At 35.5% G+C, this 27,469-nt stretch overlaps 1 protein-coding gene across 25 annotated transcripts in view; it reads right to left on the minus strand.

Annotated features, from left to right (window-relative positions):
- Positions 1 to 27,469, minus strand: part of CDC42BPA (CDC42 binding protein kinase alpha) — a 328,635-nt gene that overhangs the window by 156,860 nt on the left and 144,306 nt on the right. For all 25 annotated transcript variants that reach the window (NM_001366011.1, XM_017002580.3, NM_014826.5 and 22 more), the window contains 2 exons: positions 13,826 to 13,919; positions 642 to 842 (listed from right to left, as the gene is read on the minus strand). In NM_001366011.1, the coding sequence (NP_001352940.1) occupies positions 642 to 842; positions 13,826 to 13,919 (295 nt within the window). The remainder of the gene's footprint in view (positions 1 to 641; positions 843 to 13,825; positions 13,920 to 27,469) is intronic.

A 27,469-nucleotide genomic window follows, 5' to 3' on the forward strand; every position in this document is an offset into this window, starting at 1 on the left:
ATAAATAACGTTAGAATAGGTATCCTTGTACATATATCTTTGTTCTACTGAGAATGTCATAGGGTAGATTCCTAGACTGAAGTTGCTCAATCAAAACCTCTAACCATTTTTTAAGGCTCTAGGTGCACACCTGTAAACTTCCTGAACAGAAAGGTTACACCAATTTATATTCCTATTAATGTCTTAGAATGCCCATCTCACTGCATTATTTATGGTACAGAGTACTATTTTTCTTTTGATCTTTGCTAATTTGACAAGAAAAAAAAGTATCTCATCCTTATTTTAAATTTGTATTGCACTTATTACCACTAAAGTTGAAAATTTTTTTACACATATTCTAGTCATGATTATACATATACTATAGTAAGCAATGATCTAAATTCTCTACTTACGACCTTTGTTATTCTACTGGGGAGACCACTTAATTTCCTACTTAGCGGCATCTCTAATAAAATACAAGAAAATTAGAACTAATAACTTATGAATAATTTATGGATTTTGACTATTTATGTTGTCCTGTCCCATACTAGGATAGAAATGTGATTGTTCACTGTTTTTAGAAAAATATTTTCTCTTTAAAAATGGTTTTATTATATGTGTTATTTACCACATTAATTTGAACAAAAGTAAAACATACTAACTTTGTGGTTCATGATTTTTCCGTATGTCTCCACCAGCGATTCTGCATAAAATGGTGTTTCTCCGTAAAGCATTTCATACATACAGACCCCCAAAGACCACCAGTCACATTCAGGTCCATATCTCCCTTTTCCATCTTCCATGGCTTGAAGGATTTCAGGAGAGATATAATCTGGAGTTCCTACAGCCACTGAGGACTGAACCTGAAGAAATTTACATTTTTATTAATCTCCTATATTAGAAATAAAATATTTTAAATAGTTACTTAAGATACACAATAGACATTATTATCTCATAAACACATCTTTGTCATTATCTGAAAAATAATAATAATCCTTGTATATATGTTAAATTGTATATTATCCCCACATTAATAGTTTTCAGGATTTCATAACACTATAGAACTTTTATTATAGTGTTACTTAACTGATGACATTGAGAGGAACAATTTAATTTAAACCATCATACCAATTAAGAACAAACTGAATATTTGGTTTAGAACACTCATTATTGATAATTACCTGTCAAACCTATACGTGTAAAAAAAAAAAAATGAAACCGTCAAAATTGTACAATGAGATGGGGGGAAAAAGCTCCTGATATTTAGGCCAACACTATGAGAAGCCTGGAGATTATGTTCAAACTCCTTAATAGAAACCTAAGAAAATACACGTCAATAATGTACAACAAACTACTTACTAATTTAAAAAACTATAAAAGAAGAGGTATATCCTTCAAAATCTAAAGTTCCAATAGAGAAAAAAAGTTGAGTACTTGTTATAGCAGGTTAGGTTTAATTAGAAAACAGGTAATTAAAACCAGGCATGGGAGCTGACATCTGTAATCCCAGCACTTTGGGAAGCCAATGTGGGAGAATCACTTGGGCCCAGGAGTTTGAGACAAGCCTGGGCAACACAGCAAGACCCTATCTCTGTAAAAAAGTGGAAGAAAAAATAAAACAGGTAACTAGAAAAATCCTGGGTATGCATGTTGTAAGGTACTTTGAAGTAAAAGAATATTAGCCCTTTACATGTTTTAGAAGAACTTATCCAAAACATGAACATTCCTAAAGTAGAATACCAGTTAATATTTTGGATTTTCTAGACTACATTTCCAATTCTGAATAATTAGGATAAACTTACATTTTAGCAATACTGAGATTAAATGACTTGAAAACCCTTCCATTACAAACTCTTAAAATGCTAGACAAACACCCTGTCTAACACAGTGAAACCCCATCTCTACTAAAAACACAAAAAAATTAGCCAGGCATGGTGGTGGATGCCTGCAGTCCCAGCTACTCAGGAGGCTGAGGCAGGAGAATGGTGTGAACCCGGGAGGCGGAGCTTGCAGTAAGCCAAGATTGCGCCACTGCACTCCAGCCTGGGCGACAGAGCAAGACTCGGTCTCAAAAGCAAAAAAAAAAAAAAAAAAAAAAAAAAAGCTAGATAAAATATAACAATTATTTGTATAAACATATAAAAGAACTTTTTTACAAAGAGAGATTCTTAGAGGTCAGTAATCAAGAAATGCTTGAGAATCAGGATAATAAGCATTAGAGATGAGTAGGGTTGGGGAATTGTTGGTTTTCATTTCCTAGGTACTCAAATTTTAACATACACAAAAGCGAGTACCTTATGCTTATATGAGGTAAGAACAAAAGAAAAGACCTTATCCTTAGCTTACATGAGGGGGCGAGTTTGAAGACAAAGGCTGCCCTATATACATACCTTTTGCCTTAAAACGTATACTGTAAGAAAAACGGTACATTATAAAAATCTGCCACAAAGCAGAGACGGACAAGACATTTCATCTATCTTGACTAATGTGTGATGAATGAAAAATATTGTTCCTGTAGAAATTCGTAACATTACATCACATAGTCTCAACATTTGGGATTCAAATGCACACCGCTTCTGTGGTTGAAAAGTTCCCAAGCCAAGAAACCGGCATTAACACTGACCCAAGGTTAGTTGCCTCTAGGAAGCAAAACAAATTCAAATCTACTCTGGAGGACACATGCTCAAATTTGGCAGATATAATTCTTAAACATAAAATCTTGCTGAATATGAACTCACAATCCAATAATATAAACCAAATGAGTAAACTGTCTATTATGAGTAACTCAGAAATCCCAACAAACAGAACAATAGATCCCTAACAACAATCAGATCCACTCTATGAAATAAGCATGTTTAAAATTATTAAAGACCTAAAAAAATCAACAAACACAAAAGTTTTTAAAAATCAAACGGAAGTCCTAGAAATGAAAATAGTCACTGAAATAAAATAAACGTAATAAATAGGTAAACAGTGGATTAGATACAGTTGACGAGAATAATAAACCTGAAGAAGAGCTGAAGAAATTACTAGCATCTAATATGAAGACTTAAAAAACGGAAAATTTGGAAGAAAGGCTAAGACGTACAGACCCTAGAATGGACAAGTTCAACATAGTATAAGAGAATGAGATAAAAGAGAGAATAGTGGAAAGCAATATCCAAAGAGACAAAGCTTAAATTTTTTCAAGAATGATATAAGACTCGAATTCCTGGATGCAGGAAGGGCATAAAGTACTTAGAAGAGGTTGAGCGCAGTGGCTCACACCAGTAATCCCACCACTTTGGGAAGCTGAGGCGGGTGTTTCACTTGAGCTCAGAAGTTGGAGACCAGCCTGGGCAACATCGTGAAACCACATCTCTACAAAAAATACAAAAATTAGCTGGACATGGTGGCACATGTCTGTACTACCAGCAACTCGGGAGGCTGAGGTGGGAGGATTGCTTGAGCCTGGGAAGTTGAGGTTGCAGTGAGCAGAGATGGCATCACTGCACTCCAGCCTGGGCGACAAGAGTGAAACCCTGTCTCAAAAAAAAAAAAACAAAAAAAACAAAAAGTACTCAGAAGATAAATAAAACCAGACTCATGTCTATACACATTGGAATTAAACTACAGAATACCAAAGCCAAAGAGATTTTAAAAACATTAAAGAATAGAGATTATCTACTAAGAAATGACAATTAGACCAACAGCTGAATTATTAATAACTAAGAATTGCAGTCAGAAGAAAATGAAGTTGTACCTTCAAAGTGATAAGAAAAAATAATTGTCAATATAGTATTACCTACCTACCTAAATTATGATACAGAAATGATACATTTTCACACAAGACTGAGTAAACTATCGCTAACATTTCCTTTCGGCTAAACAAGCACTAAAGGGTATACTTCGGAAAACAAGAAATTTAACCAAGATGGAAGAATGTGATACTAGAAGCAATTATGAACAAAGATATTAGTAAACTTTACTAATACATTTAAATGGTGGTTAATTGGATAACATAATGAAGAAGAAGGAGGACAAGGACTAGAAAAAGAGGCAGGAGTAACCACCTTAGGGCTGAAAAATAAGTTTACCCCATAAATGTATTCAACTATAATTTGTCAGTTTACAAATAGAAAAATAAAAATTTTTAAAAACCACCCACTTTACCTCCCTGAAAAAAAAAAAAAGAAAAAAAAAAAGAAGTTGGAAATTAAACACTGGAAAAACAAAAACATATTACTGAGGGTGTAAACAGGATTCAAGTATTCTAAATTTCTTAGGTTTTTTAAATTTTTAATTATTATTTTTAATGGTGGTAAAAATAGACATAAAATTTACTATCTTAATGATTTTTAGAAGTGTGCAGTTCAATGGCATAAGTACCTTCACACTGTTGTGCAACCAGTCCCCACCATCCTTCTCTAAAATTTTTTCATCTTGGAAAATTTTAACTCTGTACCCATCAGTAATTCCCCCATTTCCCCTTCCCCTAGACCCTGGAAGCCACCATTGTACTTTGTTTCTTTGAACTTGATTACTATAGTTATCTCACATAAGTGGAATCATAAAATATTTGTACTTTTCTAACTGGCTTATTTCATTAACATAATGTCCTAAGGTTTCATCCATGTTGTAGCACGTGTCAGAATTTCCTTTCTTTTTAAAATTGATTGATATTCCATTGTATGTATACAGCACATTTTGTTTATCCATTCATCTGTCACCCTTTGGCTACTGTGAACAATGCTGCTCTAAAAATGAGTGTACAAATGTATGTTCAACTCCTTGCTTTCACTTCTTTTGGGTATATACCCAGAGGAGGAACTCTGGATCACGTGGTAATTCTATTTTCAATTTTTTGAAGAGCTACCTATACCATTTTCCATATTTTACATTCCCACCAACAGTGCCCAAGGATCCTAATTTGTTCACATCCTTGACAACACTTGTTATTTTCTGTTTTTTGATAGTAGCAATCCTGCTGAGTGTGAGATGGTGTATCCCTGTGGTTTTGTGTTTCTCTAATTATTAGTGATGTTGAGCACCTTTTCAAGTGCTAATTGGCCATTTAAATATCTTCTTTGGAGAAATGTCTATTTAAGTTCCTTGTCCCAGCACTTTGGGAGGCTGAGGTGGGTCAATCACTTGAGGTCAGGAGTTTGAGACCAACCTGGCCAAGAGGTCATAACCCAGTCTCTACAAAAAAAAAAAAAAAAAAAAAATTAGCTGGGTGTGGTGGTGCATGTCTGAAATCCCAACTACTCGGGTGGCTGAGGCAGGATAAGTGAGCCGAGATCACGCCACTGACACCAGCCTAGGCGACAGAGCAAGACTCTGTCTCTAAAATAAAATAAAATACAAATAAATAAATACCTTGTCCATTTTTTAACAGGGTCCTTTGTTCTTTGTTGCTGACTTGTAGGAGTTTTTACATATTTTAGAGACTAACCTGTTATTAGACATATGATTTGCAAATATTTTCTCTCATTCCATGTTGCCTTTTCACTCTGATCGTGCCCTTTGATGTACAGAAGTTTTAATGGAGATATTGCCGAATTTATCTATTTTTTTCTTTCGTTGCCTGTAATTTTGTGTCATCCCCAAGAAATCACTGACAAATCCAAGGTCATAAAAGTATCCCTTCTATTTTTTTTCTAAGAGTTTCACAGTTTTAGTTTTTGTATTTAGGTCTTTGACCGATTTTGAGTTAATTTTTGTTGTGAGTGTTACACGTTGAGTTAATTACAGTGTGAAGTAATCTAAGTTTCTTGTTTTGATAGGGAATGTGGCAGAAAAACCGATAAACTCTAGACAGCAGGTAAACTACAAATGTTTAAAAATGTAAAGATAAACACTAAAATACTTAGAAATGTAACTTCCAAACAAAGAGAAATTTAAAAGCTAAACTTGATCAAGTCAACAGAAGGCAAGAAAGAAGAAAACAAACTCAAGCATACATGCAAAGAAACAAGCAAAACCAATAATAAACTGCACGTAAGATACTAGAAATAAGTATATTAATAATCACAAAATTTATACATGGATTAAATTCACCTGTTAAACAAACCTGTTACACAGGACAACACACAAAACCAAAATGAACAAATGGGAAAAACATCAGCAATAATCTGTTTAAAAGGGATGCACTTAAAACATAAGGACGCAGGAAAGTTAAAAGTAAATGGATGGAAAGGGATATATCAGGCATATGATAAAGAAAAGAAACTTAAGGTAGCTACAGTAATATCAATTAAATATATCCTCATGCCAAAATCATTGTGAGATTTTTTAAAAATTCATTAATATAATATAAAAGAAAATACCCTGGAAGAAATGTCAATTCTGAATAATATATACCTAACAGCAAAGCTACAAAAGAGCTGTGCAAAACATTGATGATTACAAAGAAAAGTTAACACATTTACCATCATAAGGATTTTTAAAAAACGAATAAATAGATCAGAGAAATAAAATGGTTAAGAACACAAAAAAACTGAATGACAAAATTAGCAATTTTAATCTTATGGGCATATACATCTGTACCCAAAAGTTAGAAAAAAAAAGTATTCTTTTCAAATAAACATAGAACATATAAAAACTGGCCTGTTACAAAATCACAAAGCAAATTTCAAAAAATGCCAAAAAAATCTGATACCAAATAGACCCAATCTACAGTAAACTGAAACCAGGAATAACTAACTAAACAAATAAATATAATACTATGAATATTAAAAAGGCATATCACTAAATAGTGGCCCATAGAAGAATTCTAACTTAAGTTGGAAAATATTTAGAATTGAACAGTAGAATGCTCTGTATCAAAACTTACGAAGGAAAAGAGAAGCACAAATAAACAATACTAGGAAAAGGGGGGCAAAATGACACTGTAACAAAGATGTTAAAACTAGGAAGAAGGTGGTCTGAACTACTTTATGGCAATACAATTGAAAACTCAGAGAAAATGGACAATTTTCATTGAAAAGACTATAACGTATTAAAACTCAGGAAGAAAGAGAAAGTCCAACAGACCTATAATCATTAAAAATTTGAATCAATAGTACAAAATCTATCTGCAAAACAAAATAAAATAGAAGAAAACAAAACTTCACCCAGGCTAAGGTGATTTAAAAGTAAATTCTACCAATGACATAAGTTAACAGACAACTGTACTATAAACTGTTCTAGAGCCAAAATGGGTAAGGGGAAAATATGGGTCCTCTGTTTATTTTATAAGGCTAAAATGACCTAAACCTAAAAATCAGACAAGAACAATTTAAGGAAAAAAAATTATACTCCAGTCTGAGATATGACCAATGTCATGTATGAATGCCAGGTAACAATACTATATAAAATAGTAGTAGAGTCAACTAGGAATGTGTTAAAATACTGCAATATAACATCTTGATAAAGTCATATTTACTCAAAGAATGAATGATTTAACAATGGAAAAGCTGTCATTTATCAGATTAACTGATTAAAGGAAAAACAACCTAACATCATCTTGATGGATGCAGAGAAGTAATTTAGTTACAACCAGAATCATAACAAAAAAACTCTGGTAATCAGAAATGAGAAGGGATTTCTTAATTTGATAAGATATATATACCAAAAGCTAACTGCAAACATTAAATTAATTTGAAGCTACAGAAACATTACTGCACCTATTTAACATTGTACTGAAGGTCATTAGACTCCATGGTAAGAGAAAAAAATAGCACATATAAAGATTGTGAAGAAACAAACCCAAAGTTTCTCATAATTTACGGATTACATGATTTATTATATGAAAAATCTAGAAGAATCTATAAACTATTTTAAACCGATAAAAAATTAGCAAGATTGCTAGATTCAGGATGAATATACAAAATCAATTCTAATCCTAAAGAAGAGCAACACACTATTAAACTGCAAATTTAAACAAGTATCATTTATAATACAGGTAACATTAAAAAATCCATAAGTCGTTTAGGAGCAAATCTAACTCATCTAGGTAATGGATTAATAGTAAACATCATGGAACTGTATTAACAGACATAAAACCTGAAACAATAAAAAGAAACACAACATTCATAGATGAGAAGATTCCATGTTATAGACATAAATGTTCCCAAAATTAAGCTAATTTCAAAGCAGGTCTTAAATACATAAGCCAGTGTTTATGAAGGATTGTTCACATGTATGTACATGTATGGATATAAACCAATATGCTAATTCTAACAATCACATAGAAAAATGAAGGGCCAAGAATAGCCAAGATAATTTTAGAGCAAGAAAAAGAATTATAGCAAACACCTCACCATCAGAAATTGACTTCTTAAGGTAAATTGATTCAGCTGGTATGGTTTTGACCGAGATATAACAGAAAAAGTAAGTTGAAACTTAATTTGAAAGTCACAAACTTGGGAAAAGCTCGTAGATTTGAGGCAGCTGTCCAGATAATAAATAATGACCCACACAAAGTCAACAATCATAACATTTCAGGACATTGGGAATAAATAAAACATTCTAAAAGCTTCCAGATATAGAGAGAAAGGCTGTAATAAAAGGACTGAGACTCAGAATGGTGTCAGATGTCTTAACAGCAACACTGTAAGTTAAAAGACAACATAATGCCTTCTAAATTCTAAGAGGAAAATAGTTTCAAATCTAGAATACTATGTCCAGACAAACTATCAATACAATATGAAGGCATTTTTCAGACATGGAAGATTATGAAATATTTACTTCCAATGGAACCTTCCTCAGGCAGCTATCACCACACAGGATCCAGGAAACAGAGTCCAATACTAGAGAACAACATAAATTCCATGAAGACGATGAAAGGTAGTCCTAGGATAGTACCTATGCAGTAGGTCTCTAGAACGAACAGTCCAGATTAGGAGAATGCAAGACTCCAGTATGAATATCTCCATGGGAAAAAAAGGAACTGCTAAATTCCTTTTATTAAGTAATTCAACGTGGTGGAGAGTTTGAGGATAAATTGGTGACAATTACACGGGAAATTAAGCAGAGCAAAGTGGTCACTTACACCAGGAAGAATAAAAAGGTTCTGAAGAAAAGAAATGCAATTTAAAAAAACTATGACACGACGATGAGTATTTGTATTGTCATAATAAAATACCAAACAGGATTTAACGAGGTATTGTGTGATAATTACATTGGGAGGATAGAGAGGATGTGTACTGGATGGGCAAGAGCAGAGCAAAAGACCTGAATCCTCATCTACCATGGTAGGATAGTATGAGTTAGTATCTAAAAATAAATAATCAAGAGACAGCAGCACAAATATGGTTATGGGAAATATGTAAGTAAATGAAATGCTCAAAGCACCACTGAACTTGCGTGGGTGATAGAGCAAGACCCTGCCTCAAAAAATAAGACAATAAAATCTAAAAATTAATTTAAAAATCTGAAATAAAATAAAGTTTCTTCATTATAGTTTTTTTTTTGTTTTTATTTATTTTTATTTTTTATTTATTTATTTTTCTGGAGTCAGGATCTTGCTGCCACCCAGGCTAGAATGCAATGGCACCATCACGGTCACTGCAGCCTTGACCAGGTCCCAAGCTCAAGCGATCCTCCCATCTCATCCTCCTGAGTAACTGGGACTATAGGTGCATGCCACCATGCCTAACTAATTTTTTATATTTTTTTGTAGAGATGAGGTCTTGCTATGTTGCTCAGGCTGGTCTCAAACTCCTGGGCTCAAGCAATTCTCCTGCCTTGGCCTCCCAAAGTCTCAAAGACTTTGAGAGGCCTGCCATAGGCCTCTCAAAGACTTTGAGAGGCCTGCCATAGGCCTCTCAAAGCCTATGGTTTTGAAAATGGAAGTCCAACTTGATATTATGTCCAAGAAAACCATTTTGAGTTCATCAATAAGTATGCTAGAAACAAAACATAAAATATTATCCTATTGTCCAGAAAAATCAGAATGAATGACTGGGAGGACACACCAGACTTTCAAGAACAAATATAATTGGAGGAAACTCAGAGACAGAAATATTACTCATGCATTCTGGAATTTGCATTTCGAATGCATTCAAAAGCAATTTAGAGAGGCAAACATCAGACTACAGGGACTCTATCTCCAACTTTGAGTCCATCGGGCTTGTAATATGCAGGACTGGAGAATCACTAGCTCTCTCCGTGGAGTTATTTTTCCCTGCAGCTCTATCCTCTCTGGAATGGTGGCCCCAAATTCCAGATGCTAAAGCCTCCCTGATTTCAATCTCTGTTTTCTCAACTCAGCAACACCACCATGCTATTTCCCTCTTCCAATGTCATACCTGGCACTACCCACTTCTCACTTTATATTTCCTATATACAGTTATCCTAGAGCAGTATAATTCCATATACATATCTTCCATTGTTTATGTGACTATTGTCATATCCTTTACTTCTACATGTCATAAACCCACATTACAAATAATTACATATTACATTATTTTTGCTTTTAACAGTTAGGTACCTTTTATGTAAATTAAATAAGAAAGACAGTATAGACATTTTATTTACCCACTTATTTATTGCATATGATATTTTTATGCTATAAATCCAAATGTCCAAACAGTATCATTTCCTTTGACATGGAGGACATTCTTTAGCATTCAGGCCTGCTAGAGATTAATTTTTCTCATCTTCCATTTATCTGAAGATGTCTAATTCACTCTCATTTTTGAGGGATATTTTTCTTAATACAGAAACCTCAGTTTACACATTTTTTTCCTTCAGCACTTTAAAGACATCACTCCATGATTTCTCATGACAGGTCAGTAGTCCTTACCATTTCTCCTCTGTACGTAATATGTCTTTCCTTCTGGCTGCTTTTAAATGTTTTAATCTTTAGTTTTCGGCACTTTAACCACATCTGACATGGCCAGATGTGGTTCTCTTTATAGGTTTGAGATATGGTAAAATTCTTAGATCTGAGTTTTTCATCACATTTGGGAAGGTTGAGCCATTACGTACACATTTTTTTTTCCCCACATCTCACTCTCTTCTTCTATATGGATCCCTAAGCCTCTATTTATTTAGTCTCAATATTTTTCTCTGTTTTTCACATTGGCTCATCTCTACTCATCTGTCTTCAAGTTCACTGGCTGTTTCTTCTCCTATCTCTAGTCCACTTTTAACCTCATCCAGTGAATTTTAAATTTCAGTTACTGTACTTTCTAATCGTAAAATGTCCATTTGACTCATTTTTCTGCTGAAATTCCTTATTTGTGTAATCTTTAAGGCTACATTTTCCTTTGTTTTCTTAAATATTTTTATAACTTTTTTTTTTTTTCTTTTTTGAGACGCAGTCTCATTCTGTTGCCCAGGCTGGAGTGCAATGACACCATCTTGGCTCACTGCAACCTCCACCTCCTGGGTTCAAGCGATTCTCCTGCCTCAGCCTCCTGAGTGAGTAGCTGGGATTACAGGCATGTGCCACCATGCCTGGCTAATTTTGTATTTTTAGTATAGACAAGCTTTCACTGTGTTGGCCAGGCAGTCTCAAACTCCTGACCTCAGGTGATCCACCCTCTTTGGCCTCCCAAAGTGCCGGGATTACAGGCGTGAGCCACTGTGACCGACCTATGATCACTTCTTTAATTCTCTGTCTGCTAAGTCCAACATGTGTGCCAGCCAGGCCTCTACTGACTGCTTTTATCTGACTCTGTATCACTATCCACATGCCCATTTTTGTTTGGTTCAGTGATTTTTTTTTTTGAATCCTTGTCATTGTGAATAAGATGTTATAGAGAGTATTGATTCTATTATCTTCTTATGAAGAAAAACAATTCTTATGTAAGCACATAAAAAAATTACTGACTGATCTCCTTGACCATGAGTTAGCTTACAGATACACTCTGTGATTGTAGGTTCATACAAAAATCTAAGATTTGTCATAAGCCCCTCTACTTGGAAGGAAGACTTCCAAACTCTATGGATCTAATCAGGGCTTGGACTTAGGTTGTTAGAGAGTAGGTCTTAGGTGATACAAAGGTGTTAGCTGGCTCTCCAGGGATGAAAATTCAATTTCCCCTAGCACTGTTTCCTGCCTGGGAGATCTGCTTGATCATTAGTATTCTGGTCTGTTTTCAAATGCTATCATCTGCTATTGTCAAGCCTCATATGGTCTTGTGGTACAATGCACAGCCCAACCTTCATGAGGCACTTTATGCCCTCTCTCTGCACAATTCCCTCCTCTCCAATGCCAAGCCCTGCATATTCCAGCTGCTGCAGGTAGTCCAGCTCTGCTTTCACTCTAGCTTTCTGCATCAGAGTCAGGAACTGCCCCAGTCTTTGCGCAATCGTGAGGAATACCTCACGAGTTCATTTATGTCAGGGATAATAGTATTATGCTGCCTGTTGTCCACTGCTGGAAAACAGTAGCTTCAACTATTGTATCCAGTTTTACAGTTCCTTACAGTGGGAGTGCTAATTTGGTACCAATTTAATCCCTCTATCATGGCCAGAGACAGAGGTCACATAATTCTTTTTAACAAAGTTATCACTGTAGGACAAATTTTCCAAAGTTGGCCGGGCACGGTGGCTCACGCCTGTAATCCCAGCACTTTGGGAGGCCGAGGTGGGCAGATAACCTGAGGTCAGGAGTTTGAGACCAGCCTGACCAACATGGTGAAACCCCATCTCTACAAAAAATACAAAAATTAGCCAGGCGTGGTGGTGCTTGCCTGTATCCCAACTACTTGGGAGGCTGAGGCAGAAGAATCACTTGAACTCAGGAGGCGGAGGTTGCAGTGAGCTAAGATGGCGCCTCTGCACTCCAGCCTAGGCAACAGAGACTTTGTCTAAAAAAAAAATAATAAAATTTTTCCAAAGTTAAAATTACTGGTCTAGAGTAATGTGACATTTTCATGGCTTTTGGAATGTATTATACTAAACTGTCCTCCAAAAAGTTTCTGTCAATTAAACTGATATATTTTTGGACCTCTCCTATATGGCCAGAAAAAAATGAAGTTAAAAAAAAAAAAAAACAGAATAAAACTGTGGCATATAAACTTTTTTTTTTCTTTAAAACAGAGACAGAGTATCACTATGTTGCTTAAGCTGGTCTCAAACTCCTGGACTCAAGTGATCCTCTTGCCTCAGCCTCCCAAAGTGTTGGGATTACAAGCGTGAGCCACCATGCCCAGCCTTTTTTTTCTGGGTGGCTCTGGGGGAGTGAGGGGGTGGGAGACAGGACTTCACTGTTGCCCAGGCTGGAGTGCAGTGGTGCAATCTTGGCTCACTGCAACCTCTGCCTCCCATGCTCAGGAGATCCTCCCACCTCAGACTCCTCAGTAGCTGGGACTACAGGCACGCACCACCATGCCCAGCTATTAAGTAAACAAAAAAAACCAACTGACGGGTTTAGGGTTAGCAAAAGTTAAGCAAATGGGAACATGAAACTAAATCAACTTGTGAACTTTCTGAAAAAGGGATTCATTTGTTGAACACTATCCCTTAGAATAACTAAGCAATTTAGGAAAGAAAGACAAAAAAGTAAAAGTGCGGGCAAAGCTGCGTTTTCTTTTTCTATGTGAGACTTAGTTCTTTTACCCCCGGTGAACTTTGAAATATCTAAAGTACAACAGAAGTCACCAACTAAAGAAGGAGCAAACAAGGGTCTCATAAAGGGTATATTTTATCAATCTTAAGATCACTGATATAAGCAGCTGAAATGGCTTGTGACTTTTTAGACAACCCCACTGTAAGTATGCCCAAATGCCTTTGTGGAAGGAGGTGGCGCATAGATAGACAAATGGATGGATGGGTAGATAGTATAAATAGATGGTTTCTAAAACAGATATATCAGACAAATAGCAAGGGAAATGTCTGTGAACAAAATAATTTAGGATTTATCTTTATTTACCGTTCCATCTTCCATCAGCTTCAGACAAGAACCAAAATCTGCTAACCGAATATGTCCATTCATATCCATCAGTATATTGTCAGGTTTAATGTCTCTGAAAAAATAAATAAATTCAATTTTTAGTGGAAAAATAAACAATTCATTGTTTGGTAAGATATTCTTTTTGTCAGAAAAAAATCTCAACTTATTTTAAAAGTAATATTCTAAGAAAATCTATTTAATTACTTTATTAATTCAAATCCTGGTTCTGATTCATATTAAAACTTTCTCAAACACATGTAATTTCAGTATTCTTCTAGAGATAAAAAGTAGTGTGGTAATTTTCATTCTGGTTAAATTAATCTTACTATCTTTCCTTTTGATTTACACAGATTCCAATGTGACTATGGTAGACCTACTTTCTGCATACAGAAGAGTCAACATTACCTGATAACCACAAAAAATACTATCCTCTAGCCCATGAAACTGGACAGGGAAAAATATACTTTCTAGACCTTAAGATAACTGCAGATAGATAAAGTCTCAATTACTGCAGGTCATGACAACACAAAGAAATTGCTTCATAAAGTTGATTTTACAGAAGAACTAAAACAACTGCCTAATAGACTGTCTATATTATTTAAAGCTTTCATTGTCTTTGGATGTTAAGTCAATGGTGTGTAAGATACCCAAATCTAAACTATATCATATACCAGCTTTTGTATTTGTTTTTGCATGTGAATGCAAACCTTAGAAAAATAATCATATATAAAATGGTTCTGTAAAGAAGATTCTCAGGGACTTAACAATATTAAGTTTCTAATCATAGTAAAGGTTGTAATTGTGAATAACTAAGAGATTATACCCACCCAACTCACTCTACTTTTAGAGGGAGAAAAAGAATCTCTGGAGAACCTATATATTTTTTAAAAAATTACATTGCCATGTAAATTACAGGAATATGGGAGGGCTACTTTAACCTGAATAATGCCATTTAAGATCTCTATGCTTCAGTTTTACCACCCATAATAAGGGTAAAATATTATAACAGTATTACTTTGATTACTGAAGCAATTTCTCTGAGTGTGTTGTATATCACGAGTTAGTAAATTATGGCCCACGGCCAAATCTGGTTTGCTGCCTGTTTTTGTAAATAAAGTTTTATTGAAACACAGCCATGCCCATTCATTTAGGTATTGCCTATGTCTGCTTTCACACTACAAAGGCAAAGTGAGTAGCTGTGACACAGACCACATGGCCTACAAAGCCTAACATATTTACTCTCAGGCTGTTTATAGAAAAAGTTTTCAAACCCCTATTGTAGATGATAGATGGTTGCTAAAGAGAGACAGGGTGATTGAAAACAACAATCTGTATAGGGTATTAGCTTTATAATCCTCAACATTTGACTGTATTCTAACCTGTTGAAAAAGATCTGCTGTAGAGGAAACATCAAAGAAGTACAGTTTAGTTCTGGAAGGAAGCTTAGCAATTACTAAGACCATTTTTAGATGAGGAAAAAATATTTTATTCTTTATCTTAAAAATTAAGCTATACAGTCACTACGAATTACTTCTACTGGTATAGTACTTCTTAGATTGTAAAGGAGATTAAAGGAACTGCAAAGACAGGATTTATATGCATCAATAATATCTTTGCTTATTTTATAGATAGTAATTATAAACTATATACATATACATAAAGCATATTATGTGAATATATTTTATTCATAATACTATATAAATAAAATAGAAAATACTAAAAATTAACAAGACATTACAGATAGTACTGAAAAACATAAGTATTCTATTACCATTCCTGATCTCATCCTCTCCCTCCACTACCCAGACATAGCTACTATCCTAAATTTGGTGTTTACTGTATCCATGCATATTTTACACTATTATGCCTATATACAACATCATAAAACTATGTACTTTTTAAAATGTCTTTATAAATGACACCAAACTGTGCATTGCCTTTTGCAACTTGGTTTATTCAAATATTATGCTTCATCAGCTGGGTGTGATAGTTCATGCCTATAATCCCAGCACTTTGGGAGGCCAAAGGAGGCCGAGGAGGGAGGATTACTTGAGCCCAGGAGTTTAAGAACAGCCTGTGCAACACAGTGAGACCCCTTCTCTACAAAAAATAAAAATGAAAAATTAGCTGGGCAGGATGGCACATGCTTGCGATCCCAGCTATTTGGGAGGCTGAAGTGAGAAGATCACCTGAGCCTGGGAGGTCAAGGCTGCAGTGAGCCGTGACTGTGTCACTACACTCCAGCCTGGGTGATGGAATGAGAAACTGTCTCCAAAAGAAAAAAATAAAATAAAATAAATATATATGTGTGTGTGTGTGTGTGTTTCCAAACATATATGTGTGTGTATATGTGTGTGTTTCCAAACATATGTGTGTGTTTCCAAACATATATGTTTCCAAACGTGTGTATGTTTCCAAACATGTTTCCAAACATGTGTATGTTTCCAAACGTGTATGTTTCCAAACATATGTGTTTCCAAACATATGTGTATGTTTCCAAACATAAATGTGTGTATGTTTCCAAACATGTGTGTTTCCAAACATATATGTGTGTATGTTTCCAAACATATGTGTGTGTATGTTTCCAAACATATATGTGTGTATATGTTTCCAAACATATGTGTGTATGTTTCCAAACATATATATGTGTGTGTATATATGTTTCTAAAACATCTATTTTGGGACATATTGTTTTAATTCATTAATTTTAATTAATTTTAATTATATACATATCAAAATTTATCAATTCTCCTGATAACGGAATTTTGATTGTTGCCCATTTTTATTTTGTTAAAACACAGAATGCTGGATGAATATTTTAATAAATGTCTTCTAGTACTCATATATGAATGCTTCTCCAGACTATAGATGTAGAAGTGAAATTTCTGAGATGAAAGATATGGACATCTTCAACTGTGCTAGCATGATTACGAATACAGTTGAGAATCTTTTCATATTATCACTGGTATCATTGGTCATTTTACATTCCTCTTCTATAAAATGCCTGTTAATATCCCTTGCCGTTGTAAAAATTGTGTGTGCACTGTTTTTTGTTTAATCTTCAGGGATTCTATTTACTCGAACTTAGTTCTTCATGATGTGTTACAAATCCCTTCTCCCTGCATGTGGGCTTGTTTTTCCATTGTTTTTAATGTCCTTCTTATTTGTAAAAAAAAAAAATATATATATATATAAAATACTAATGTAGTCTTATAATTTATACTATGATTTCTGTCTTCCCAGACATCATAAGGATGGTGTCCTAATTTTCTCTTGTGTAAGTTTTAAAGTTATGCTTTTCCAGTTTTTAAATCTACCGGGGATTAATTTTTGTGTGTAGTGTGAGATAAAGGGCAGTTACATTTCTTTCTACCCCAGCACCATTTACTGAATGATATCCTTTCACCACTATTATCTAATACCACATACGTCATAAATTTAGTGGGTTTGTTTCAGGACTCTCAAGAAGAGCAAAAATATTACTGTATTACTCTATTTTTTTTCAGTTGACAATCTTTACAGTGAAAGGGAGCCTATTAATAATTGCCAGGATAACAGGCATAAATTGGAACTCTCCCACACAAGCCAAGATGAATGGCCACCCTATCCATATGCCTCTACCTGCACCAATACCACAGTGTCTTAATTATAAAATAATGAGCTTCCTATCGGCAGAGCATATTTTTTAATTGCCATTACTCTTCTAGATCAATGCTGGAATTAGCTTAATATGTTCTATAATACATATTGAAATTTTTATGGGAATCATGATTTTATAGATTAATCTGAAGAGAACTGACATCTTTGCAATGTGACACTTCCCATCTGTATATACACTAAACCTATAAGTCTTTTTTTATATTCTTCAGTTATGAATTATTTTCCACAGAGAACTTACATATCTCATCTATAGGCAACATAGTGAGACTCTGTCTCTATAAAAAAAAATATTAAATCTTAGGCATTGTGGTGCATGCCTGTGGTCCCAGCTACTCAGGAGGCTGAGGTGGAAGGATCACTTGAGCCCAGGAGTTCAAAGCTGTTGTGAGCCATGATCATGCCACTGCACTTCAGCCTAGGTGAGAGCAAGACTCCTATCTCTTTTCAAGTGCGTGCGCATGAGCGCACACACACGTGCACGCACACACAAACGCACACACACACACCCCTAACTAAATTTTTAAAAATTCAGACTCTGGAAACCAGATCCTAGTTTCAAAACATTCAGTAAACTCTCAATAAATCACTAAAATGCAAAGGGCTCAACATTACTCTTATCACTTCACATTTTCTTCCAAATCAATACATAGTCTTCTTGTATAAATAATCTTATGTTATATATTAGCAGCTGAGAGAAAGACAGGTTTTAGGAAATAAAATTTCAGGATCCCATAAGCATGTTGGGGGTAGAGTGAGGGTTGGGATAAGAATGTAACAACTGACAAAGTAAAACATTCAATAAGCATTAATTAAACATTTACAGCATGCAACAGCACTGAATTAAATGCAATACTATGCACTATAGGAGTACATAAAAGTAGAAAACAGAAATCCTTCTTCTTATTCCCTCATCACCCCAAAAATATTTATGGGAGTAAACATGTTTATCTCTGCTCCCTCCAGAACTACAGTAAAATGACAATACAAGAACTAAAAGGTAGAAACTCACAAGTGAATGTAAGAAAAGACAATGGAAGATGATGGGTGTCAACACAATTTTCAAAGATGGAGAACATACATATGATAAATAATGCAGAGCCAAGGAAGCTGAATTATAACTGCCTACAAGGTTGGGAGAAAGGAACTAAATTGACTTGATACATGATTTGATGTACTCGAATACTTGAAAATGTACTGTTAGGCATTTAGTACACATAAAAGGAAATTTTAAGAGTACTGACAAACAACTGAAAACAAATTTGAGCCTATTATTAATTATAGGAAAAATTGTTAGATAAGAAAGGAAAAAATTATAGTATATTTCTTGGCTCAGCAATAAACAATATTTACAAAGTCTCAAAAATGCAACCATTATCTACCAAGAAGATCAAAAATAGTGATAAAAGTATAGTGAGAGAATGCAGGGAGGAAAAGTAGAAAGAGGAATACAAACAGCTAAATCCTCCACTAGCATAGAAGGCAGGCAAAAGAAGTCTTTACAAACTGTCCAAAATTCGCAAATCTAGAAACATCAACATATCAGGACATTAGAGATATGGGGCTAAATAACTTTTAAAAAATAGAATTGAATATAGCTGCCACTAGGGAGCAGGCATAAGAGGTATGCTGGAGAGACTACTTTTCAATATAACCTTTTTTTGTATTAGTTTTTTCTTTACTGTGTTAAGTATTGTTTGATTAAAATTAATTAAAAACCAAAAATACATGTGTAAATGTCTGAATCATTTAATCAAAGAATATGAAAATGTTTTCACTAAGCCACTAAGATCATCTGCAGTCCGCAATATATTTTAGTCCAAACAGTTAATGGTTATCAATATCACAGATAAGCACCATGATGTTAAAATGACAATATTAATTGGTCTCTGTTTATCCAACAATGAGTACAATTATACATTTAATAAAGTATGTAGCCTACTGACTCACTCCACATCCTTACTCATTTTATTCCATGGCTGAAGTCTCTGTTCTTAAAATGGTCACTATTTGGGCAGACGGAAACTCTCCTAACCTTCGAAATAACGAGGCCTCAGGAGGGTGGGCTATTTCTTCTCCCTAGTCATCTGTTGTGTTTGAAAATATTTAAGTTTTATTTTTGTTTTGGGGGTGAGGCAATATAATAGATAATGCTGGTATGAGGCAGAATTTGAAGGATTCATAGGGTAAAAGAGAAAATGGCTTTTCCATCTAGCTGGCCTGAATATTTCACTAAATTACCAGGTGAAAGTAAGGCGTAAAACTTACATAAATTCACATACTTTATCACCTCGAGCAAAAGAAAACATTTGACCAAGACTATAGCTTGGCCTTCTGAGGTTTCCTTTTTCCTTCAGACTTACCTATTATTTTCATTTAAATCTAAATTTATAGTAGTCATAAGAAAAATGTTTGGGGCAAAGTATGATGTGAACTAAGCTGAACTTATACAAGGACCACCCTGGTTCTTTCTGTACTCTAAAGTGTAAACAAAGTGAGGAGAAGCCACACATTCCAATTCCCATTAGTGCTCACTAGGGGCGGGAGTGGGGGTGCCTCAATGCCTCTGCTGACCAACATCTATCAACTGAGTAAAGAAGGCTCTTAATTACTCCATAAGGATGTTCTCAATAGGCAGTAAAACAAGCATAGATACTTCATTCAAACTTGGGGGAGGGGGGCTCAAGAGAGGAGGAATAGCAAGAGCTCTCTAGTGTCACCTGAACAGAAAGAAGGTTACACTTAATTGACAGTACCCACAAACCCAAAAGGTTCCAACATCTTGAAGAAGTAGGATCAAAGAAAAGTAGGTAGATAAACATCTACCTATTCTCTGTACAAATAATTTGATCACTGAGCTAAGATTTTGGCATCTTACAATACTACATAAGAATAAAAACTAGAGGCCTCCTAGAAAATGTTTTGCATTCCATATTTGGTAAAATCTTTTTAAATAATGAAGGTCATAAGTATAAAGTTACCTATGATTATACCTGCTCCAAGAAAATGCAAGTCCTCGTCCTTACATTACCACTGAAATGTATGATCAATTCTTAAAAGGAATTTGAGTGCTGAAAAGAAGTTGTCCAAAAGTTTTTTTTTGGCTTTCCCTTTCCCTATTCATTATGCAGAAAATACTCTTTAAGATGACAAATGACCTTTTCACTGCCAAATCCAGTAGCATCTTTTTAGTTTGAATCCTGTAATGACTTCTCTATGACATCTGACACTGCTGGTTATTCTCCCAACTATACCACTTTCTTCTCTATTTTTTCTCCCATCTAAAATTAATGCTTCTCAGTTTCCTTTCCTGGTTCCTCTTTTCCCAGAAGCATAATTTCCATTCCCCTAATGCTGCCCTTTCTTAATATGCAGCTCTCTGCTCTCCTTTGTACCTCAATGATCTTTTCCTTGGAAGTACCTGTCATTTCTTAGATTTCAGGTTAGTTGGTTGCCCTATGACCTCAAATCTCTGATGAGTTCAAGACAATGTTATAATTTTTGCTTTAAGCAGTCATATGGTTTGTGAAGAAATTAGTAAGAATAAAAAATTTATAGTCTAGTATGTATATCTAGACATTTACAATTTTAAGTGCCTTGGATTCCTTTCTGCAGATCCAAGCTTTCATGTAGTATCATTTCCCTGCAGCCTAAAGAACTTCCTTTAGCATGTCTTACAGTGCAGGTCTTCTGGCAATAAATTCTTCTGTTCTTTTTTTTTTTAGACGGAGTCTCACTCTGTCACCCAGGCTCAAGTGCAGTGGCATGATCTTGGCTCACTGAAACCTCCACCTCCTGGGTTCAAGCAATGCTCCTGCCCTCAGCCTCCTGAGTAGCTGGGATTACAGGTGCCCGCCACTAAGCCTGGCTAATTTTGTATTTTTAGTAGAGGCAGGGTTTCACCATGTTAGTCAGGCTGGTCTCAAACTCCTAACCTCAAGTGATCCGCCTGCCTCAGTGTCCCAAAGTGCAGGGATTATAGGCATGAGCCATCACCCCTGGCTTCTTGTTCTTTTTGTTCTTCTTTTACTTAAAAATATCATATCACATTTATTTTTGAAGGATATTTTCACTGGATATATAGAATTCTTAAGTCTCTCTTTTAGCTTCTTTATTTTCTAATGAGAATTCATCTCTTAATGGAATTGTAGTTCCCCCAAATGTAACTTGTCATTTTTTCCTTGCTGCTTCCAAAATTTGCTCTCTGTCTTTGGATTTCAATAGTTTCACTATAATGAACCTTGACATGGCCTTTTTCATATTTATCTTCCCTGGTGTTTTTTTTTTTTTTTTGAGGCAGAGTCTCGCTCTGTCACCCAGGCTGGAGTGCAATGGTGCGATCTCCGCTCGCTGCAAGCTCCGCCTCCTGGGTTCACGCCATTCTCCTGCCTCAGCCTCCCGAGTAGCTGGGACTACAGGCGCCTGCCACCACGTCCGGCTAATTTTTTTTGTATTTTTAGTAGAGAAGGGGTTTCACCGTGTTAGCCAGGATGGTCTCGATCTCCTGACCTCGTGATCCATCCGCCTCGGCCTCCCAAAGTGCTAGGATTACAGGCGTGAGCCACTGCACTCGGCCCCCTGGTGTTTCTTGAGCATCTCAAATACATAAAATTATATCTTTCATCAAATTTGAGGCCATTATTTCTTCAGGTATTTTTTCTGGCCCATTCTCTTTCCTCTCCTTCTTGATCTCAAAGTACATGTACATAAAACCTTGTGATATTTTCTAACAGGTCCTTGGACTACTATTATTTTAATCTTTTCCTCTCTGTTACCTTCAATAACTTCTGGCTTATTTAACTTCAAGTCTTTACTTTGTCATCTCCACTAGGCTGTTAATTTTTTGCAGTGAAAATTTTCATTTCAGATTTTGTATTTTTCATTTCTAGAATTTCCATTTGATTTGTTTCTAGTTCTGTGCTGAGATTTCCTATTTTTTCATATATTGTGAACACATTTTATTTACCTTTACTGAGAATAGTTGTTAACAGCCACTTAAAAATCCTAGTCTGCTATTAATAATTTCTACATCTGGGTCATTTCAGGGATACTCTTTTCTCTTGTAAAGGAGTTACATACTCCTTTTTCTTTATACATTGGGTAATTCTGAATGTTCCCTGAACATAATAAATGTTAAATTTCTGAAACTCTGGATTCTTTAATTTTTCTCCAGTTAGCATTTTTTTCTTTCTTTTTTTAATCAGCTGATTAAACACATTTAAACTGCAAACTGTTTCTTGGGAAGAAGTTTCTTATCTTTTGTCTTTAGCTGAGCAGCTCTGAGTGAAGCTATCACTCAGGGGTCATGTGAGCTGTCAGTAGACAGATTTTGGATCCCCTCTCTAACAAACATAGTTTCCCCAAATTCAGCTTTCACAGGCCATAGAGACCAGAGTTCTTCTACTTATCTTCTTGTTATCTTCTCCCATGCCACAATGTACACCATGCCATTTTCACCCAGCCCCAGGCTGAGAGCTGCAAAACATGAGATGTCATTTCATATACCTCCATCTTCTTTGAGGATGTATTCCCAATCAGGTTCTCCCCGCTTCTGTTCACTCTTTAGTGCCTTTAGGATAATGGTCTTTGTGCTATGCTCAGATTTTTAGTTGCTTCTGTGAGGGCCGTAGCCCAGAAGGACCTCATTCAGTCACTAGCCCTCCTCATACATTTGGACCATTATTAATTTGAATTTTCTAAAAGATGTAGCCAATCCTATTTCTAATTAAGGCACCCTGAACTTTTAAGTTTTATGAATACAGAAAACCATATTTTTCAAACATGGCCTCAATAATATCTCTCACTCCACATTTTCATCTAGAACCTTGCCACTCACCCATCAAGAAGATTGTCCCTTCAGCTTGAACCTGGATGGACTCTTGTGACTGTCTCAATCAATACAGTATGATAGAACTTAGGCTGGCTATGACGTCCAAGGCTAGGTCATTAAAATGTCATGCAATTCTGCTTTGTTCTCTAGAGACACTTGCTCTAGAGAACATACTTATCATGTTGTTAAGAAAGTCAAGCAGCCCACATGGGAAGAACAAAAACCCCATGCCCACAGCTCTGGCTGAACTCCCAACTGATGGGCAGCACCAATTGGCTAGCTATGTGTGTGAGCCATCTTGACAGTGATTCTTCCAACCACAGGTGAGCTACTGCAACTCATGCTGCATAGAGAAGATACAATTAGGTGCTGCCTAGTCCTGCCCAAATTTCAGACTCATGAGCAAAAAAAAAAAAGAAAAAAAAAATTGTTGTTGTTTTATATTAGTCACTATAGTGTTTCAGGGTGTATGGTGGACAGAGATGTATTATCTTCTCCCTCAATGATGAGCTTTGCCCCAGATGTCAACAGATAGCTCCCCACTGCCAGGTTCCTTCAAAGTTACAGAGAGCCTCTTTAAACAACTGCCTGTGTTTCTTGGAGAACTTCATATGCATTGAATGACTGATAAGGAAATAAGAAAGACCATGCCATTTCTACTAAACTAGCAACAATTCAGGTGACCACAGACGCTTCAGAACTCCTAGTAGGGCTGACTGAAGCTTTGGCCTCAGTGTAATCTGACTTCTCCTCCACCCAAACCTGCTTTCTCCAATTCCCTTCTACAGGTGTTAACCCCTAATAAATACCCTGCATGACACATTCTGTCTCAGTGCCTGCTTCTGGAGAACATAATGTGTTACACAGCAATTGTTAAGTGGAACAGTAGCCCAACAAATTCCATTTTCTGGAAGAAGCAGCAAAATAACATCTGGCATTCAAAACCACTCTGAGTCAGTGACGTCTTGCAAATAACGTGGCAGCCAGACAACCAGATACTAAGAATTGTCAATAAAAGGAGTGAAAGGAAAGTTCAGGTAAAACATTATTTTCAACTTTGATAATTCATGAAAACTGAGAAATGTTTGGAAGAGATAAAATATCTATTACTGTAAAAACATTATTCAAGTTTTCCATAATTTGAATATTAGTCAAAACATGTACACTAATTAAAGTTTCTAAAATGAATAATTTTCCTTGTCCCTAAACAAAAGTAAATAAGATTTGGGTTAAAAGTTTTATGATTTTAGTTTTAAAATAATAGTTTTAAAAACTTTAAAAGCATTCTATGCTGGGCACAATGGCTCACGCCTATAATCCCAGAACTTTGGGAGGCAAGGCCAGTGGAACACTTGAGTCCAGGAGTTTATGACCAGCGTGAGCAACCTCATCGCTACAAAAACTACAAAAATTAGCCAAGAATAGTGGTCCACGCCTGCGCTAGTGGTCCCAGCTACCCAAGAGGCTGAGGTCAGAGGATCACCTGTGCCCAGGAGGTCAAAGCTGTAGTGAGCCGTGACGATGCCACTACACTCTAGCCTGGGTGACAGAGCAAGATCCTGTCTCAAAAAAAAAGCATTCTAAAACAACGATTACATTGAAAGGGCAACATTCTATGGGTGATTTTTTTTTTAACTTCACTAGAACATCAGTACCAAAAGCATGATTATTACAAATATTACCCCCATAAGACCAAAATGCGGATACGACATTAGTTAATCTATATAGTTTCAATTCTGGCTGGACACTGAATTCAACTATAGAGGGTTATTTTAATTGCATGTACCTTGGCCCCAACCCAGACACCACTAATCAAAATATTGCACAGGGGATTGGTCCCTGACAACCACTAATTTAAGACAGGCATTTCTCTTCCCAGCAACATCACATTAATATCTCCCATTCGGTTCCTTTTTATCATTTATATAGGTTAGGGTAGTGGACTCTTCTAAAACAATACTTTTATTTTCTAATTTTCCTACTCCTCCTTTTTTATACTCATAAAAACAGCATACTGCATTATATTAAAATGAAACTGCTTTTTGAAATTGTCTCTTAATTTTGTCAAAGAAATATTACATCAGTAATAAAAGAAAGTCCACACTGGTAAAATTACATCACCAACAGCCTTTCTGTCAGTCAGAAATTAGAATTCTTTATGGAACATTAATTTGGGGTTCATCCTACATTTGAGAAAACAGTTATTCAAAAAATTCTGTCAGTAAACTTTTCTCAAACTAATCTTTTCCACTGGGTAGTGAAGCTATTATTTAAGAATTATGGGAATAAAAAACTAATGATTCTATAATTCCAGGTACTGCAAAATAATGGTGGTTATACAAATCCTAATCTTTCTCTGCATCTTTCCAAAAACCATCCAGATACAATCAACAAGGAGAACAAGTAAAACAACCCACATACCACATTTAAAATGTAATTCAAAGAAAGACTACTATGAAATTCAAATTATGTGTAATTATGAAAATAAACATTCAAATTCAGCAAATGAGAAAAAGAAGAGAAAAGCGGGGAGTAATGGGGCAATAAAATGCAGATTAAACCACTGCCCACTGAGACGGAAGGAAGAAGTCCTACCATGAGTAGGATAGATAGTATAGTTGGGGGAAACTGGGCGAAAGGTACATGGGACCTTTCTGTACTACCTTTGCAATTTCCTGTGATTCCAAACTTATTTCAAAATAAGGTTTTCTAAGCTAAAAAAAAATCATCTTGAGCAAATTTATAGAATTATTTTATGCTTCTCATTATCCTGTTATATATTAACATGTCTTTACACTAACTCTCTTTAACAAATACTTGTATGTAGATAAATAATATATCACTAAAAGAAAAACCTTCTAAAACTACAGTATAGCCAATAGCATCTGATCTCAGGAATACTCACTGGGAGATTCAGTTAAAGGCTCCTCAGGATCTAATCAAATGGCCAGCCTGAGGAATAACTACATTTAGCTACCTATCAAGTAACTTCTATGCTAAATAGTTCTGTACAAGTACAAATAGTGACAGATAAAAGGAGGAAACAAGTAATTACATTAGTACAAAAATATGAAAACGTATATAATGGCTTTATAGGATAGACCAGAAGTTTCGTTCAATTACCCTGCATTGGCTCCTCCAAATGACAGATACATTCAAACCGATACTATTGCTGTATCTGCCATATGAACATTACACTAAATGAAGATGTCCAAATATCATAGGAAAGCTTGCCTAAAGACCACGGAATTATCTGTATAGTGAAGGCCTAATCTTGCCCAAAGAGAGGTCTGGCTTTTATCCTCAGCTACTGGAAGATGGTCGCTAGGCTCCTGGAATAGCACAACTGATAGGAGTGTCTTTGACTACTAGACAATCTACCAATGTAATTTATGATACATGTAATTTATTTGAGTCATACTATGTTTTGCCTCTGGAAAGGACTGGAGACTAAAGCTATCAGCCCAACATTTGGGAAGGGCTGGAGACTAAAGACAGTCACACAGGCAGTAAGTAATTGAGGCCACCCTAAAAAAACTATAAAAACTAAAGGCTTAGGTGGGCTTCCCTGGCTGGCAATACTCGGTAAGCACTATCATATATGTATGCTGGGCTGTCCTAATTCCACCAAGAAAGAATGATGTAAGCTCCACATGTGGTATTTTTTTTTTAACTCTACCCTATATATTAATACTTCTTCCTCTGGCTGATTTAAATCGGTATCCATGTAATAAAATCGGTATTCCATGTAATAAAATACAACTGTTAAGTATAACAGCATTCAGTGAGTTCTGTGAGTCTTGCAAATTATCAAAACTAAGAGGTGGTTTTGGGAACCCCTCGAACTTCCAATTGGTGTCAGAACTTGGAGTGGTCTAACTGGAAGGTTTCCTCTAAAACTCTGTAGTTGCCCCAAATTCCTTGTAGTTACTGAAATACCAACTGAACTGTAATATAGTAACTATATTTATATTTAAAAATTCCTAATTGTGCACATCCTGAGTTCACCTATACTCTAGTGTAACAGTTTTTAACTATATTTTTAACTATAGATGGTCCCTAACTTACAATGGTTCAAATTATGATTCTTCAACTTTATGATGGGCTTACTGGAACATAGCCCACTGTAAGTCGAG

This window comes from Homo sapiens, chromosome 1, assembly GCF_000001405.40.
Source record: "Homo sapiens chromosome 1, GRCh38.p14 Primary Assembly".
Taxonomy (NCBI): domain Eukaryota; kingdom Metazoa; phylum Chordata; class Mammalia; order Primates; family Hominidae; genus Homo; species Homo sapiens.